Source organism: Homo sapiens, chromosome 19, assembly GCF_000001405.40.
Source record: "Homo sapiens chromosome 19, GRCh38.p14 Primary Assembly".
Taxonomy (NCBI): Eukaryota; Metazoa; Chordata; class Mammalia; order Primates; family Hominidae; genus Homo; species Homo sapiens.
Genome location: NC_000019.10, coordinates 34499212 through 34513433, shown reverse-complemented (window position 1 = coordinate 34513433; position 14222 = coordinate 34499212). Strand labels below are relative to the sequence as shown.

General features: G+C 54.0%; 1 protein-coding gene across 3 annotated transcripts in view, besides 4 other annotated features; it reads right to left on the bottom strand.

The window, feature by feature from the left end:
* Positions 1-1129: 1129 nt before the first annotated feature.
* WTIP (WT1 interacting protein) overlaps positions 1130-14222 on the bottom strand; it is a 30547-nt gene continuing 17454 nt past the window's right edge. For 2 of the 3 annotated variants that reach the window (XM_011526452.4, XM_011526453.4), the window contains exon 8: positions 1130-4863. In XM_011526452.4, the coding sequence (XP_011524754.1) occupies positions 4597-4863 (267 nt within the window). In that variant the 3' untranslated portion in view covers positions 1130-4596. Of the gene's footprint in view, positions 13306-14222 lie in introns of all 3 variants that reach the window. The other variant, NM_001080436.2, reaches the window with a different exon arrangement.
* Positions 7182-7682: an enhancer, noted in NCBI's record as "H3K4me1 hESC enhancer chr19:34996657-34997157 (GRCh37/hg19 assembly coordinates)". NCBI's record gives its function as "activates a minimal SCP1, AML or CMV promoter by ChIP-STARR-seq in naive H9 embryonic stem cells {active_cell/tissue: H9 hESC(naive)}" and the evidence as "EXISTENCE:reporter gene assay evidence [ECO:0000049][PMID:30033119]".
* Positions 7683-8183: an enhancer, noted in NCBI's record as "H3K4me1 hESC enhancer chr19:34996156-34996656 (GRCh37/hg19 assembly coordinates)". NCBI's record gives its function as "activates a minimal SCP1, AML or CMV promoter by ChIP-STARR-seq in naive H9 embryonic stem cells {active_cell/tissue: H9 hESC(naive)}" and the evidence as "EXISTENCE:reporter gene assay evidence [ECO:0000049][PMID:30033119]".
* Positions 9194-10015: an enhancer, noted in NCBI's record as "H3K4me1 hESC enhancer chr19:34994324-34995145 (GRCh37/hg19 assembly coordinates)". NCBI's record gives its function as "activates a minimal SCP1, AML or CMV promoter by ChIP-STARR-seq in naive H9 embryonic stem cells {active_cell/tissue: H9 hESC(naive)}" and the evidence as "EXISTENCE:reporter gene assay evidence [ECO:0000049][PMID:30033119]".
* Positions 11565-11624: a silencer, noted in NCBI's record as "silent region_10505". NCBI's record gives its function as "represses an Ori minimal core promoter by ATAC-STARR-seq in GM12878 lymphoblastoid cells {active_cell/tissue: GM12878}" and the evidence as "EXISTENCE:reporter gene assay evidence [ECO:0000049][PMID:35858748]".

Below are 14222 nucleotides of genomic sequence, written 5' to 3'. Positions count from 1 at the left end.
CCTCATGCGGGCATGGTGGCACTTGTGGGGCAGTCCTGTAACCTGCAGTGTGGTGGGTGGGATGGATGTGTGTGACACAGGCAGGAACTTCCCCTCATGGTAGTTGAGGAACCACGTGTGTATTGGGTGGGGCTGATGGGAGTGAGAGGTGAGTGGCTGGGCACAGGCAGGTGAGTGAGTGACAGCTACACAAACCCCACCACTGAGCATGTCCCTCCCAGGACAAAGCAGATCAGAGCCACAGGCCCAGCCCTGGGAGGCCCAGAGGGGCCTCAGGTCCTCAGGGACCTGGCCCTCTTGGCCCTCAGAGGACCCCACTCCCTCTAGAAAGCCCCCCAGCTGGCTCCACCTGCAGCTGTGCAAGTGGGAAGGGGACACAGTGCTCTGAAGTCCAGAGAAGGAAGGAAGATGGAGGGAGGGCCGCCCTCTGCTCCCAGGCCCTCTATTCCCTGACCCTGATGCTCAGCCCCCTGAGGCCCTCCTGGAGCCCACATCTTTCAGCTGCAGTCTCCCAGCCTCTCTCCCCAGGACGAAGCCCACTCTGCCAGTGCTTTTCCACTGTAGCTGGCTTTTCCCCTTGGGGAGGGTCCTCAGATGGCGTAAAGTGAGGAAGGGTCCCCTGGCCCTGTCCCGCAGGGCCCCCACACCAGGCCTCCCCCATCTCTTCCTGTCTCTATCAGACACAGAGGCAGAGACAGAGGCAGCCACGTGCCCAGTCCCAGCAACAATCACACCCTCATATTCATATAATCACAGATCCCCACCCTACACAGTCACACACCCCAACCGCAGGTGCCACACACACACACCCCACACGCTCCCAACAGCGCATTCCACTCACACACACAGTCCCATTCTCACATATGTGCACCCAAGCGTCTTGCCCCACACACAACGTGACAGGCCACAGAGCAGGCTGAGAGTCTCAGAGTGCATGGACGCCTGCACCGCACAGGGACCCGCACAGGACCGCGCCCAGCCAGGGGTCCTCGCCTGCACTGCAGCTGCCTGGATCCTGCGCCACGGGATGGGCTGGGGGTGGTCCTGAAATCACCTGCGTGCTAGGGCTCTCACATGTGAAGCTGTTTCCACAAGAAGGTGCATGCTACACACAACACATAAGGCATTCTTGAGGTAAAGGAGAATTCCATTTATTAACTTTATCAAAGTACAATACGTGGGGTCCTCATGATGCCAACAGCCAATGCCAGACTCAAGGTGGAGTCTGACCCTGACCTGCCTCTTGGCCTTCCCATTAGAGCCAGGAGAAAAGCAGCACGCCCAGCACCTCCACCACTGTCTCTTTAGCACAGTGGTGGAGTTTCTGGACAAGAAAATAGAGCCAGAAAAACAAGTAAGGCTTCTGAAGACCCTAATCCATAAAGCTTTACTGAGAGATGTAAAATAAAACTTCAGTGAATGGAGGAAACGCACCAGACCCTCAAAGCCAGGACTCAATATTAAAGGGTGTCAGCTCCAAATTAACACAGAATTTGAAAGCACTTCAAATCAGAATTCTAGCAAGTATTTTTTTCTTTCATAATTTGAAATAAAAGTTCTTCACCAAATAAATGTGTAAGAATATTCAATCCCAAACTAGTAAACTGGGAAAAGGACATTCACAGGCAACTCACAAAAGGGAAGCCCATGGCCAATGCATGCAAAAGATTCTCATTCTCACAGCTCATCAAATGCACACATTCAAATTATTTTCATCAAATTGATACAGACTTTGTTTTCTTATTGGCAATACCTAGGGTTGGTAAGGATGCGGGAAATGGTATTTTCCTATGATTGATGGGAACACTGCTTGGCACAGATGTTCTAGTGGGCAAGGTGGCCATGTGCATCCAAAGGCAGGAACCCTTGGCCTGCCATTTTCATGTTCAGGTCTTGATCCTTGGTAAATAATGAAAGCCAGGCCCAAACACGTAGCTACTTTTTTTTATTTTGTTTTTGTTTTTGTAGAGACGGGGTCTGATACGGTTTGGCTCTGTGTCCCCACCGAAATCTCATCTTGAATTGTACTCCCATAATTCTCACGTGTTGTGGGAGGGACCCAATGGGAAATATTTTGAATCATGGGGGCAGTTTCCCCCATATTGTTCTCATGGTAGTGAATATGTCTCACGAGATCTCATGGTTTTATCGAGGGTTTCCGCTTTTGCACCCTTCATTTTCTCTTGCCGCTACCACATAACTTTTGCCTCAGGCCATGATTCTGAGGCCTCCCAGCCATGTGGAGCTACAAGTCCCATTAAACCTCTTTTTCTTCCCAGTCACAGGTATGTCTTTATCAGCAGCATGAAAACAAACTAATACAGTAAATTGGTACTGGGAGTGGGGTGTTGCTGAAAACATACCCGAAAATGTGGAAGCAACTTTGGAACTGGGTAACAGGCAGAGGTTGGAACAGTTTGGAGGGCTCAGAAGAATATAGGAAAATGTGGGAAAGTTTGGAACCTCCTAGAAATTTGTTTAATATTTGATAAAAATGCTGATAGTGATATGAATACTAAGGTCCAGGCTGATGTGGTCTCAGATGGAGATGAGGAACTTGTTGGGAACTGGAGCAAAGGTGATTCTTGTTATGTTTAAGCAAAGAGATTGGCGGCATTTTGCCCCTGCCCTAGAGATTTGTGGAACTTTGAACTTGAGAGAGATAATTTAGGGTATCTGGCAGAAGAAATTTCTAAGCAGAAAAGCGTTCAAGAGGTGACTTGGGTTTAAAAACATTCCATTTTAAAAGGGAAACAGAGCATAAAAAATTGGAAAATTTGCAGCCTGACGATGCAGTAAAGAAACACCCATTTTTTTAGAAGAAATTCAAGCTGGCTGCAGAAATTTGCATAAGTAACAAGGAGGGGAATGTTTAACCCCAAGACAATGGGGAAAATGTCTCCAGGGCATGTCATTGGTCTTCCCATCACAGACCCAGAAGCCTAGGAGCAAAAAATGGTTTTGTGGGCTGGACCCAAAGTCCCCATGTTGTGTGCAGCCTAGGACTTGCTGCCTTGTGTCCCAGCCACTCCAGCCATTGCTAAAAGGGGCCAAGGTACAGCTCAGCCCATGGTTTCAGAGAGTGCAAACCCCAACCTTGGCAGCTACCATGTGGTGTTGAGCCTGCGGGTGTACAGAAGTCAAGAATTGAGGTTTGGGAACCTCCATCTAGATTTCAGAAGATGTATGAAAATGCCTGGATGCCCAGGCAAAAGTTTGCTGCAGGGGAGGGGCCCTCTTGGAGAACCTCTGCTAGGGCAGTGCAGAAGGGAAATGTGGGGTCAGAGCCCAAACACAGTATCCCTACTGGGGTACTGCCTAGTAGAGCTGTAAGAAGAAGGCCACCATCCTCCAAACATCAGAATGGTAGATACACTGACAGCTTGTACAAGGTGCCTGGAAAAGCCGCAGACACTCAATGCCAGCCCATGAAAGAAGCCAGCAGGGGAGCTATGCCCTGCAAAGCCACAGGGGTGGAGCTGCCTACGACTATGGGAACACACCTCTTGCATCACTGTGACTTGGATATGAGACATGGAGTCAAAGGAAATCACTTTGGAGCTTCAAAATTTGACTGCCCCGCTGGATTTTGGACTTGCATGGGTCCTGTAACCCCTTTGTTTTGGCCAATTTCTCCCATTTGGAATGGCCGTATTCACCCAATACCTGTACCCCCATTGTATCTAGGAAGTAACTAACTTGCTTTTGATTTTACAGGCTCATAGGTGGAAGGGCCTTGCCTTGTCTCAGATTAGACTTTGGACTCTGGATTTGGGTTAATGCTGAAATGAGTTAAGAATTTGGGGGACTGTTGGGAAGTCATGATTGGTTTTGAAATGTGAGGACATGAGATTTGAAGGGGCCAGGGGCAGAATGATATCGTTTGGCTCTGTGTCTCCACCCAAATCTCATCTTGAACTGTACTCCCTTAATTCCCACATTTTGTGGGAGGGACCCAGTGGGAGAGAATCTGAATCATGGGGGCAGTTTCCCCCACACTGTTCTCATGGTAGTGAATAAGTCTCACAAGATCTGATGGTTTTATCGGGGGTTTCTGCTTTTGCATCTCTGTCATTTTTCTCTTGCCGCCACCATGAAAGTGCCTTTTGGTGGGAGGCCTCCCCAGCCATGTGGGAGGCTGAGGCCTCCCCAGCCATGTGGAACTGTAAATCCAATTAAACCTCTTTTTCTTCCCAGTCTTGGGGATGTCTTTATCAGCAGCGTGAAAACAGGCTAACACAGGGTCTCGCTGTGTTACCCTGGCTGGAGTGCACTGGCAGTCATAGCTCCCTGCAGCCTGGAATCCTGGCCTCAAGCAATCCTCCTGCCTCTGCCTCCCAGCCAGCTGGGACCACAGGCAGGAGCCAAGTGCACCCAGCTCTAACTGCCATATTATTTATCACCGCATGATTTATAAAAGCCAGGTCCAGTAGAAAAACAGATGATGTTTTATAAGAAATAAATCATTTAAATTTCCTAAATGTACCACAATGAACGTATGTCGTGTTGTAGAAGAAAATTTTCATGTGGGAGTCATACTTACTTTTTTGAAAAGGAGGGCAAGGTCCTTGCACAGAAAATGTTTATACACCACCGTCACAGAGCGGATTTTACTACAGGCGTCTCTCTAGATAACATCTCAATATAGATGGGGTGATGGGTGTGTCCTGGGGCCATGAGAAGCCTCCTGCAGCTCAGCACTTCCGGACTCCTAGGAACTTCCAGTCCCAGAAGGCAGGGGGAGAGGCCTGGCGGGAGCGGAGGGACACAGCTGCTCCTGCATCCCAGGCTGAGCTGCTCCATACAGGGCAAGGAAGCAGCTAAGGGGTTGGAGTCGGCCATCCTGGCCTCATCTCCAGGGTCCTGGCCACACAAAGTCAACACAAAGGTAACCCCAAATAAGAACATGTCCATGCAAAGGTACATGGGTCAATGCACCTTTAAAACTAAAACCAAAGAGGCTTCTGCTTGCATAGGGTGGACTGGGACCTTCACTCATGTCCCCTCCTTCTGGTGACCAAACCAAGGCTAAGGGAGTATTGAAACTTCCCACCTCACAGGCCAGGTGCAGTGGCTCACACCTATAATCCTAGCACTTTAGGAGGCTGAGGCGGGTAGATCACTTAAGGTCAGGAGTTAGAGACCAGCCTGGCCAACATGATGAAACCCTGTATTCACTAAAAATATAAAAAATTAGCTGGGAGTGATGGCAGGTGCCTGTAATCCCAGCTACTTGGGAGGCTGAGGCCGGAGAGTCACTTGAACCCGGGAGGCCGAGGCTGTACTGAGCTGAAATCCTGCCACTGAACTCCAGCCTGGGCGACAGAGCAAGACTCCATCTCAAAACAAAAAAAAAAGTCCCACCTCACACTAACAGAGAATGAGGAGGGATCCTTAGAGGACCTGAGATTTCAACCACATGGAGCAGGAGGAAGATGCTGTGACTGAAAGAGAGCCTGGTGGGTCTCAAGGGAAGGTGCTCCAAGGTGGAGTCAGGACAGGGAAACCTATTTGCTCCTCAACCAGCTACAGAGGCTGGGAATCAGGCTCTGCTCCAGGAGATGTGTGGGACCAGGACTGGAGGCTGAAGCCGTAGGATGGATTGAAATCTGTGCATCATTTATCATCTTCAGCAGGGAGCTCGGGCTTCCTCTGTGAAATAACCCAACAGCTTCTCCCATCACCACCACCATGAAAAATAGCATCCACCTAGTCCAAGTCTATAATGCAATGACTCACTCCCTACCCCATCCCCCTATGCAAAAGCCCATCCACTGACAAGCACTGTCCCAGACATCAGGGCTCCCCTCCAGGTCTCCAGCTCCCTGGTGACAAGACTGACAGACAAAACTAATGGAACCTGGTACCTAGAAGAGGATGAGAAGGATCCCCGTGAACCCTAGAGAAGACAAGGGGATGTGACCGGGCAGACCCTCAGGGGGCACAAGACACAGATTCAACTGGCATCCAAAGGGGACAGTCTGGAATTTTTTTTTTTTTTTTTTTGGTTTATGTTTGTTCTTTTGGGCATCAAATACTGCACCCAAATATGAGCCATTCATCTTAAGACAACTGCTTTTGTTATAAGAATCCTGTTCTGATATTCACAATTAACTCTGGACAACTTAAAACTTATTAGTGACACTGCTATCTAATAATAAAATATTTCATCATAGGCCGAATACAATTTTTTTTTTTTTTTTTTTTTTTGAGACGGAGTTCACTCTTGTTGCCCAGGCTGGAGTGCAATGGCACGATCTCGGCTGACTGCAACCTCCGCCTCCCGGGTTCAAGCGCTTCTTCTGCCTCAGCCTCCCGAGTAGCTGGGATTACAGGCATGCGCCACCATGCCCGGCTAAAAATTTTGTATTTTTAGTAGAGACAGGGTTTCTCCATATTGGTCAGGTTGGTCTCAAACTCCCGACCTCAGGTGATCCGCCCACCTCGGCCTCCCAAAGTGCTGGGATTACAGGCGTGAGCCACCGCGCCCGGCCAGGCTGAACACAATTATTAAATGAAAAGAGCAAAGTTTCTCCCGCTCTTTCTTACCTTCAAACCAAACCAAAAAAGTAGTTTTCACGGGAAAGAGCACCTACTTCAGGGAGACTCAATTTTTAACCAGTTTTATTTATATTCATTTATTTATTTATTTATTTATTTATTTATTTATTTTTGAGATAGCGTCTAGCTCTGTCACCCAGGCTGGAGTGCAGTGGTGTGAACTCGGCTCACTGCAACCTCAGTCTCCCCAGTTCAAGCGATTCTCGTGCCTCAGCCTCCTCCCCAGTAGCTGGGACTACAGGTGCCCACCACCACACCTGGCTAGTTTTTGTAATTTTAGTAGAGACGGGGTTTCGCCATGTTGGCCAGGATTGTCTCGAACTCCTGACCTCAAGTGACCTATCCGCCACGGCCTCCCAAAGTGCTGGGATTACAGGCGTGAACCACCGTGCCTGGCTGTTAACTAGTTTTATTAAACCCTACAAGCTCTAAAACACGAGACAAGGCTTTCCAGAGTAAATAGGATGATAAAAAGTTAAAATTCCCTGGAAGAGTCTGTTTTCACCAACTTGCAAGAAGTGAAAGAGCCGATTTCTTTCTGTTTATTCTTTAAAAGGTTTGGCCTGCACCCTCAGTGCACACTGTGGAAGGACAGCCCCATAGTCACAAGGGCTGTTCAGGGACAGAGCTTCCCATCCATCCAATCCACAGCCAGGAATCTTGACGGCAGCAAGAGAAAAGTCACTCATCACCTCCGAGAGAGGCTCCGTGAGAGACACAGCCAACTTCTCATCAGAAACCATGAGCATCTGAACACGCGGAGTGCACATTCAGAGCGCAGAAGAGAAAGGGAACTAGGCTGGGCAAGCTGATGGCAGGGCTGGTCCAGGGACGGGCTGGGACTCCCAGCCCCAATCTGTTCTCAGGGACGAGAAGTCCTGGCTGAGATCCACGCAGCTCAGGAAGGTGGTGACCCCAGGCCATGGGTCCCGCTGAGGATGCCTGGAAATCCGCATCAACCCAGCTGGCTCAGGTGGAGATGGAGGCTCCGGGACAGTGTGGGATGGGAGGAGGGTGAGTAAATGCCAGGCCCGGTCCAGGGCCTCTCCCTGGCCTCCAGCCTGCAGCCCACCCTAACCCTTCCTCAGCAGGGCTGATCACTATCAGGGATGGCCCAGGTGCTGTCAGAGAAGAGGGTGAGCCAGCTGTGTCCTGTGTGCCTGTGACAGGTCCCAATGGCAGGAACTTCAGGCAGGGAGGCAGAGATCCCACACAGTCCTGTCACCATGGCAGGGCAGGTGTGTGACCCGGGCGGGTTCACGTGCGCAGCGTGGAGAGGAGTGTGCGCTGGGTGTAGGACAATGGGCGTGGCAGGTGGGGGGAGGCACAGGTGGGTGGGTGTGACAGGCACACAACCATCACTGCTGAGCACCTCCCTACAAAGCGCCAGGGGGCCCAGGGCTACCAGTCCTGAGGGCCCACAGGGGGGCTGGCATCCCTGGGGAATCCTTGGGCCCTATGCCCTCCTGGCAGCCCTGTGACACATGCCCCAGGTCTGGGATGGTGGCCCAGCAATGCCCTCAGGGCCAGGGAAGTGGGTGGAAGGAGAGGAGCCGCGTCCACACTCCTCCTGAGTTTCCTGAGCACTCTCCAGGATCCCAGGCCACCCTGGGGTATCCGGCCAGGGACTAGGAACCTGGCAAGGGCCTGGGCCTGAGATAGGTGAGCTCCTTCCACCACCTCAGGCCTCAGGGCCCCTCCCACCTCTGAGCCCCCACCCAGGCTGGCTCCCAGAGTCCCCCATCATCCCCATGAAATGTGTGCACATGCCCCTCTCCCAGGTCCCCACCAGCCTCTAGGGAACACGCCTACCATGGGGGCGGGGTGGGGGCAAAGCCTCCAGAGCTGGGCTGGGTGGAGGCTGCAGGTGGCCCTGATGCTCCCCCCTCTCCCAGACCTGTTCTTGATCCCCACCCCAAGGTTCTCCTGGGCCCCACAGGCTGCGCCTACTCCTAACCCTGCAGCCAGCAAAGCCCTCACCCCTCCCGAGTGTGGCACCGGAAGTCCTTGCTGGCCTCCTGGCCAGATGAGGGCTGCCAGACCGGACGAGACAGGACCCCGTGATGGGGAAGGGCCTTCTCTCGGCCTCTGCTCACGAGCTAGAGACCAGCCTCAGGGTGGGGCTGGGTGGGAGGGATGAGCACAGCTGCACCCTACCCAACTCACCCCAACCCCCAGTCACCCTCTGGCCCACACTGCTCCCCACACCTCTGCCCAGGTCTCATAAATCCTGCCCAGTGGCCCCTCCCCACACAGCCCCCCAAGAGCAGTTCCACTTGGGATTGTCATGGTACCTGCAGCTCAGCAAGCTGACATCTGTGCTTCCCACCCCAACAGGGGCAGGGAGCCCGGATGAAGAAAGAATGAGGGCAGAGGGCACCCCATGCCCAAGACCCACCCACCCCAGGACCCTCCAAGAGGCCATCAGGGCGACGCCAACACACACACAGACACACACACACACACACAAACAAACACACAATTACACCCCACAGTGTGGTCACTTACAGGAGGTGAGCCTTTTCCACTGGTGGGTCAGGCCTCAGTGGGGTCACTGAGAACCCACCAAATCCTCCCAAATCCCAGCGTCAGGGCTCTGTTGGTCTCGCTCCAGTTCAATCCCTCTCTCCCTCTCTCTCTGCAGCTTATCCTGTCTCCGTATCTTTCCCCCTCATTCTCGGAGTCACTCAGTCTCCCTCTTAAACAACAGGTCTCTCTCCCACTCCACCTCCCACCATCTCTCCCAATCTCTCTCATTCATTTTCTGAAATATTCAATCCCTTTCACACACGACTTTCTCCGTCTCTCTCATTGATACACACACTCTCCCCCCATCCCTGTCTCTCTCTCACACACACACACATGCACACACACACGCACACAGGCAGACTCAGCCCTCCAGGGTCTATGTCTCTGAGCTGAGCCCCGCTGAGAGGCAGGCTTGTCTGGGGATTGCAGGGAGCACTCACGCCCACATAGGATGTGTCCACGTGGACAGCGCTTGGCCCTTTATGTACCCACTGTGGATCCTTCACTAGGCAACCAGGCTGGACTTGGACCAGTGCAGGTGGAACTAAGCCAAGACCCTGAAGGCCAGGGCAGGGTCAGCTCCAGCCTCAGCACTCGCCCTAATCCAGGCACGGTGGAGAGTAGCGTGAGCCACCAGGCGGGCCCAAGCTGAAGAGCTCACCGCATAGCGGGGACAGGGATGGCAGGAGACTTGCCACTCAGACCAGGGAAGGATGACAGGGACCCCAGGCACAGGCACAGGTGTCAGCAGAGACCACATCAGTGGGGGTCCCCTTGGGCAGGTGGGGGGTGGCATCCAGGGCTGGAGGGTCACAGGCCACTGGCATGGCTCAGCCCAGTTCTCACACAGCATCCTCCATCTCTATAATCATGGGGTCAGTGTCACCCCTGGGCATGAAATGGAGATACTGCTGTTGGCAAATGAGCTTGGAGAGCAGAGGCCAAGACTTCTGGGTGTCAAGTGAGGTGTCACAACTGGGGCCTGACTTCATAGAGGCCAAGGTTTCTTCATAGAGGAAGAAACCCCGGGAGAGTGGCTCCCACGGAGGGAACTGCCATGCACAGCTCCGGGGGAGGAGGTGGAGCAGTGGCCACCAGCCCTGACAGAAGGCAATGCGGGGCCCAGGGGCCCAGAAAGAAAGGGCAGAGTGTGGCCTGGTGAGGCCACTGCCCCAAGGGCCTATGCAGTCCCTTGACTGCGACCTTTGACAAAGTGTGTTACTTGGGTGGGGTTGGGGGGACTCCAAGCTGTGATGACTCAGGCCAGCTGGCAGGAGCGTGCATGGTGACCGGGATGGAGCAGGGTTCAGTGAAGCAACCCCATGGATATAAGCACAGGGCCCACCATGGCACATGCAAAGGAAGGGGAGGAGAAGGACCGGGTTGGCAACAAGGAGAAACCCGGCTCAAAGCAGGTTTGAGGGAGGAAGCAGAGAGGACAGTTCAGAGGACAGCTTTGCAACTGACCAGTTAGAAGGCAAAGGAGCCCAGGCCAGGCACGGTGGCTCAAGCCTGTAATCCCAACACTCTGGGAGGCCAAGGTGGGCTCGCTTGAGGTCAGGAGTTTGACACCAACCTGGCCAACATGCTGAAACCCCCTCTCAACTAAAAATACAAAAAGTAAGGCCAGGCACAGTGGCTCACGCCTGTAATCCCAGAACTTTGGAAGGTCAAGGCGGATGGATCGCTTGAGGCCAGGAGTTCCAGACCAGTCTGGCCAACATGGTGAAACCCCGACTCTACTAAAAATACAAAAATTAGCCAGGCCTGGTGGCGCACACTTGTAATCCCAGCACTTGGAAGGCTGAGGCAGAATGCTTGAACGTGGGAGGCAGAGGTTGCAGTCAGCCCAGATCACGCCACTGCACTCCAGCCTGGGCGACAGAGCTAGACTCTGTCTTTAAAAAAAAAAAAAAAAAAAATAGCTGGGCGTCATGGGGCACACCTGTAGTCTCAGCTACTGGGGAGGCTGAGGCATGAGAATTACTTGAACCCTGGAGGCAGAGGTTGCAGTAGGCCCAGATTGTGCCAACGCACTCCAGCCTGGGCGACAGAACGAGACCCTGTCTCAAAAAAAAAAAAAAAAAAAGCCGGGCACAGTGGTACACACCTGTAATCCCAGCACTTTGGGAGGCTGAGGTGGGTGGATCGCCCCTGAGGTCAGCAGTTGGAGACCAGCCTGACCAACATGGTGAAACCCCATCTCTACTAAAAATACAAAATTAGCCGGGCGTGGTGGCGTGCGCCTGTAGTCCCAGCTACTCGGGAGACTAAAGCAGGAGAATTGCTTGAACCCGGGAGGCGGAGGCTGCAGTGAGCCAAGATTGTGCCACTGCACTCCAGCCTGGGTGACACAATGACACTCCGTCTCAAAAAAAAAAAAAGAAAAGAAAAGAAAAAGCAGCTCAGCTAGCAGGAGAGAGCCAGCACCGGAGCCTCCACGCCTGGACTTTACTCTCTGGCCCCAGTGGGATCACCTCCTCCAAGAAGTGGCCCCTGGTCCTGCTGAAGGCCCCACTCTAAGATGCAGCGCTCTCCACGCTGTGTAAGTCCCTGGCTAAGGCTCCCTGACCACCCCTGTACTTGCCGGCTCAGCCCACCAGGTGGCGCCCGCGCCATGCCTCGGCCCTGCTGGACTCCGAAGCCGCCACTTCCCTGCGGGCGCCTCCTGGTGTTTGTTCCCTTGGGCTCGGCCTGGACAGCCCTGCTGGTTCCCGGAGCCTAGCCCAGCCCCGCGAGTGATTCACAGAACTCACACCTGACGGTGGGGGAGGAAGGGGAGAGCAGCAGCCAAGAGGTGGGTCCAGGCTCTCCCAGGGGCGAGTGACTTCAGTCCAGATGTCCCCTGAACCCCTGGGGATTCCGCATCAGGACCAGGGCCTCCCATGTCCAGACCCCACATTCCCGTCAGTGTGTCCCGGGGAGCACGGAGGGACCTCCACACTGCATTTCATGGGGCGACCGCCCTTAACACCCGGACACACACGGAACCCCACACTACCCTAAAGTCTGAAAGGTGGACACGCGTGGCGAAGTTTTAGAGGAATTTCAGGACAAAAGTCCTGAAACCACAAGGTTCTTACCACCTGAAAACCAGCTCCGTAACAGACAAACTAGACACTTGTGAGTTTGCCGGCATTTGCTTTAAAAATAACAAGGCTGGTCCAAGATCTTAGAAGAAAATTATATTCTTTTAAAGAAAATGAAAATATCCTCAAGGGAAAAACTTAATTTAAGTCAAATCTTGTCCTTTTGTCGTGGAGCCCCTTGCCCCGCGCGCAGACACAGGCTTTCCTGAAGCGTGGCCAGGGCGCCCCTCTCATCGCTCCTGAGCGTGACCCGGGGCTGGAGCCGCACGGGGATTTTCCCGAGCTGAGCAGGGGGGTCGGGGGGCCCAAGCCAGGAGCCCTGGAAGAGGGAGCAGGGCGGCAACTGGGGCCGCAAACACCCATCAAAGTCCCCAGGACCAATTCCCACAGACACCACGTGGCCACAGGCAGTGCCCTTTGCAGGCCCCCTCCCCAAGGGTGTCACCCCTCACCCCCTCCTGGGACCCCGCCTAAACCAGGCACCCTTCCACCCACCAGCAGGAACTGCGCTAGGAGATGCAGGAACACCCATGTCCCCGCCAGCCCCGCCTTCCAGACCACACCCTGCCCGGGAGTGCGCTTTGCGAGGTCGGGGTCGGGGGGGAGGGCGGGGGCCAGGCCCCTGAACAACAGACAGCAGCTCCCACCCAGCAATGCAGCCGGGTCACCTCGCACCCCTGGCCAAGGCAGGGGCCCTCTCCAGCCTGGTGACCCACGGCCTACCCTGAGGCTGCAGGGCACAGGGGGCCTCCAAGTGGAAAGCTGGTGATGGGGTGGGTGGGAGGCAGGGCCCGCAGGGAAGTGACTTGAGCAGGCACAGACGGTGAATAAATAGAAGCTTCCACGCGGGGGTCCGGCCCCTGCAGACAGCAGCTCGGTGGGAAACTGATTGGAGGGAGCTCCCCTGACGCTGACCAGGGCCACCCACGCGGGCCCTCCCTCCACACCCACACCCACCCCGGCCCAGGGACGGGTTTTCCCCTGCTCAGAGCTCAGTGACGTGCACAGTGGGTGAGGGAAGAGGCCCAGGTTGGAGGCGCCGCAGGTGGCAACGACGACACAGTAGGTGGCCCGCCAGGGGATAGCAACGGCGTCCCTCCTCCCCGCTCAGCTGCAGCCCGCAGTCCTAGGGAAGAACACAGCCCCCAGCCCCAGAGTCAGCAGACAAGCGCACATCAGAGGTCACGGGACGGGGGAGGGACGGAGGGGAGGGGCAGATCTGCAGGGTGCCGCAAAACAACATGAAGACTCTTCCGCCGGGCGCAGGGGCTCACACCTGTAATCCCAGCACTTTGGGAGGCTGAGGCGGCTGGATCATCGCTTCGGTCAGGAGTTCGAGACCAGCCCAGCCAACATGGTGAAACCCTGTCTCTACTAAAAATACAAAATTAGCCGGGCATAGTGGCACATGCCTGTAATCCCAGCTCCTTGGGAGGCTGAGACTGGAGAATCACTTAAACCCGGGAGGCAGAGGTTGCAGAGAGCAGAGAGCCTGCCATTGCATTCCAGCCTGGGTGACAACAGCGAAACTCCATCTCAAAAAAAAAAAAAAAGACTCTTCCTCTGCCAGAGGGGGTATGGGAAGCCCGGCGTGGAGCACTGGAGACTGGAGCTGCCTCTCAGGTATCCAAGAGGAAGTCACTGGATATAAGTCAGACTGCGGGGAGAGGGCTGAGCAGTCAACATGGGTGTCAGCATAAAAACCTGATGGTTTGGGTGTTTTTTGTTTATTCGTTTGTTGTTGTTTGAGACAGGGTCTCTCACTGTCACCCAGGCTGGAATGCAGTGTCTGGATCCCAGTTCACTGCAGCCTCGACCTCCAGGGCTCAAGTGATCCTCCCACCTCAGCCTCCTGAGTAGCTGGGACCACTGGCGCACCCTGCCACGCCCTGTGAATTTTGTTTATTTTTTGTAGTGATGGGGTTTCATGTTGCTCAGGCTGGTCTAGAACTCCTGACCTCAAGTGATCCTTCACCTCGGCCTCCCAAAATGCTGGGATTACAGGCATGAGCCACCGTGCCTGGCCTGTTTTTTGTTTATTAG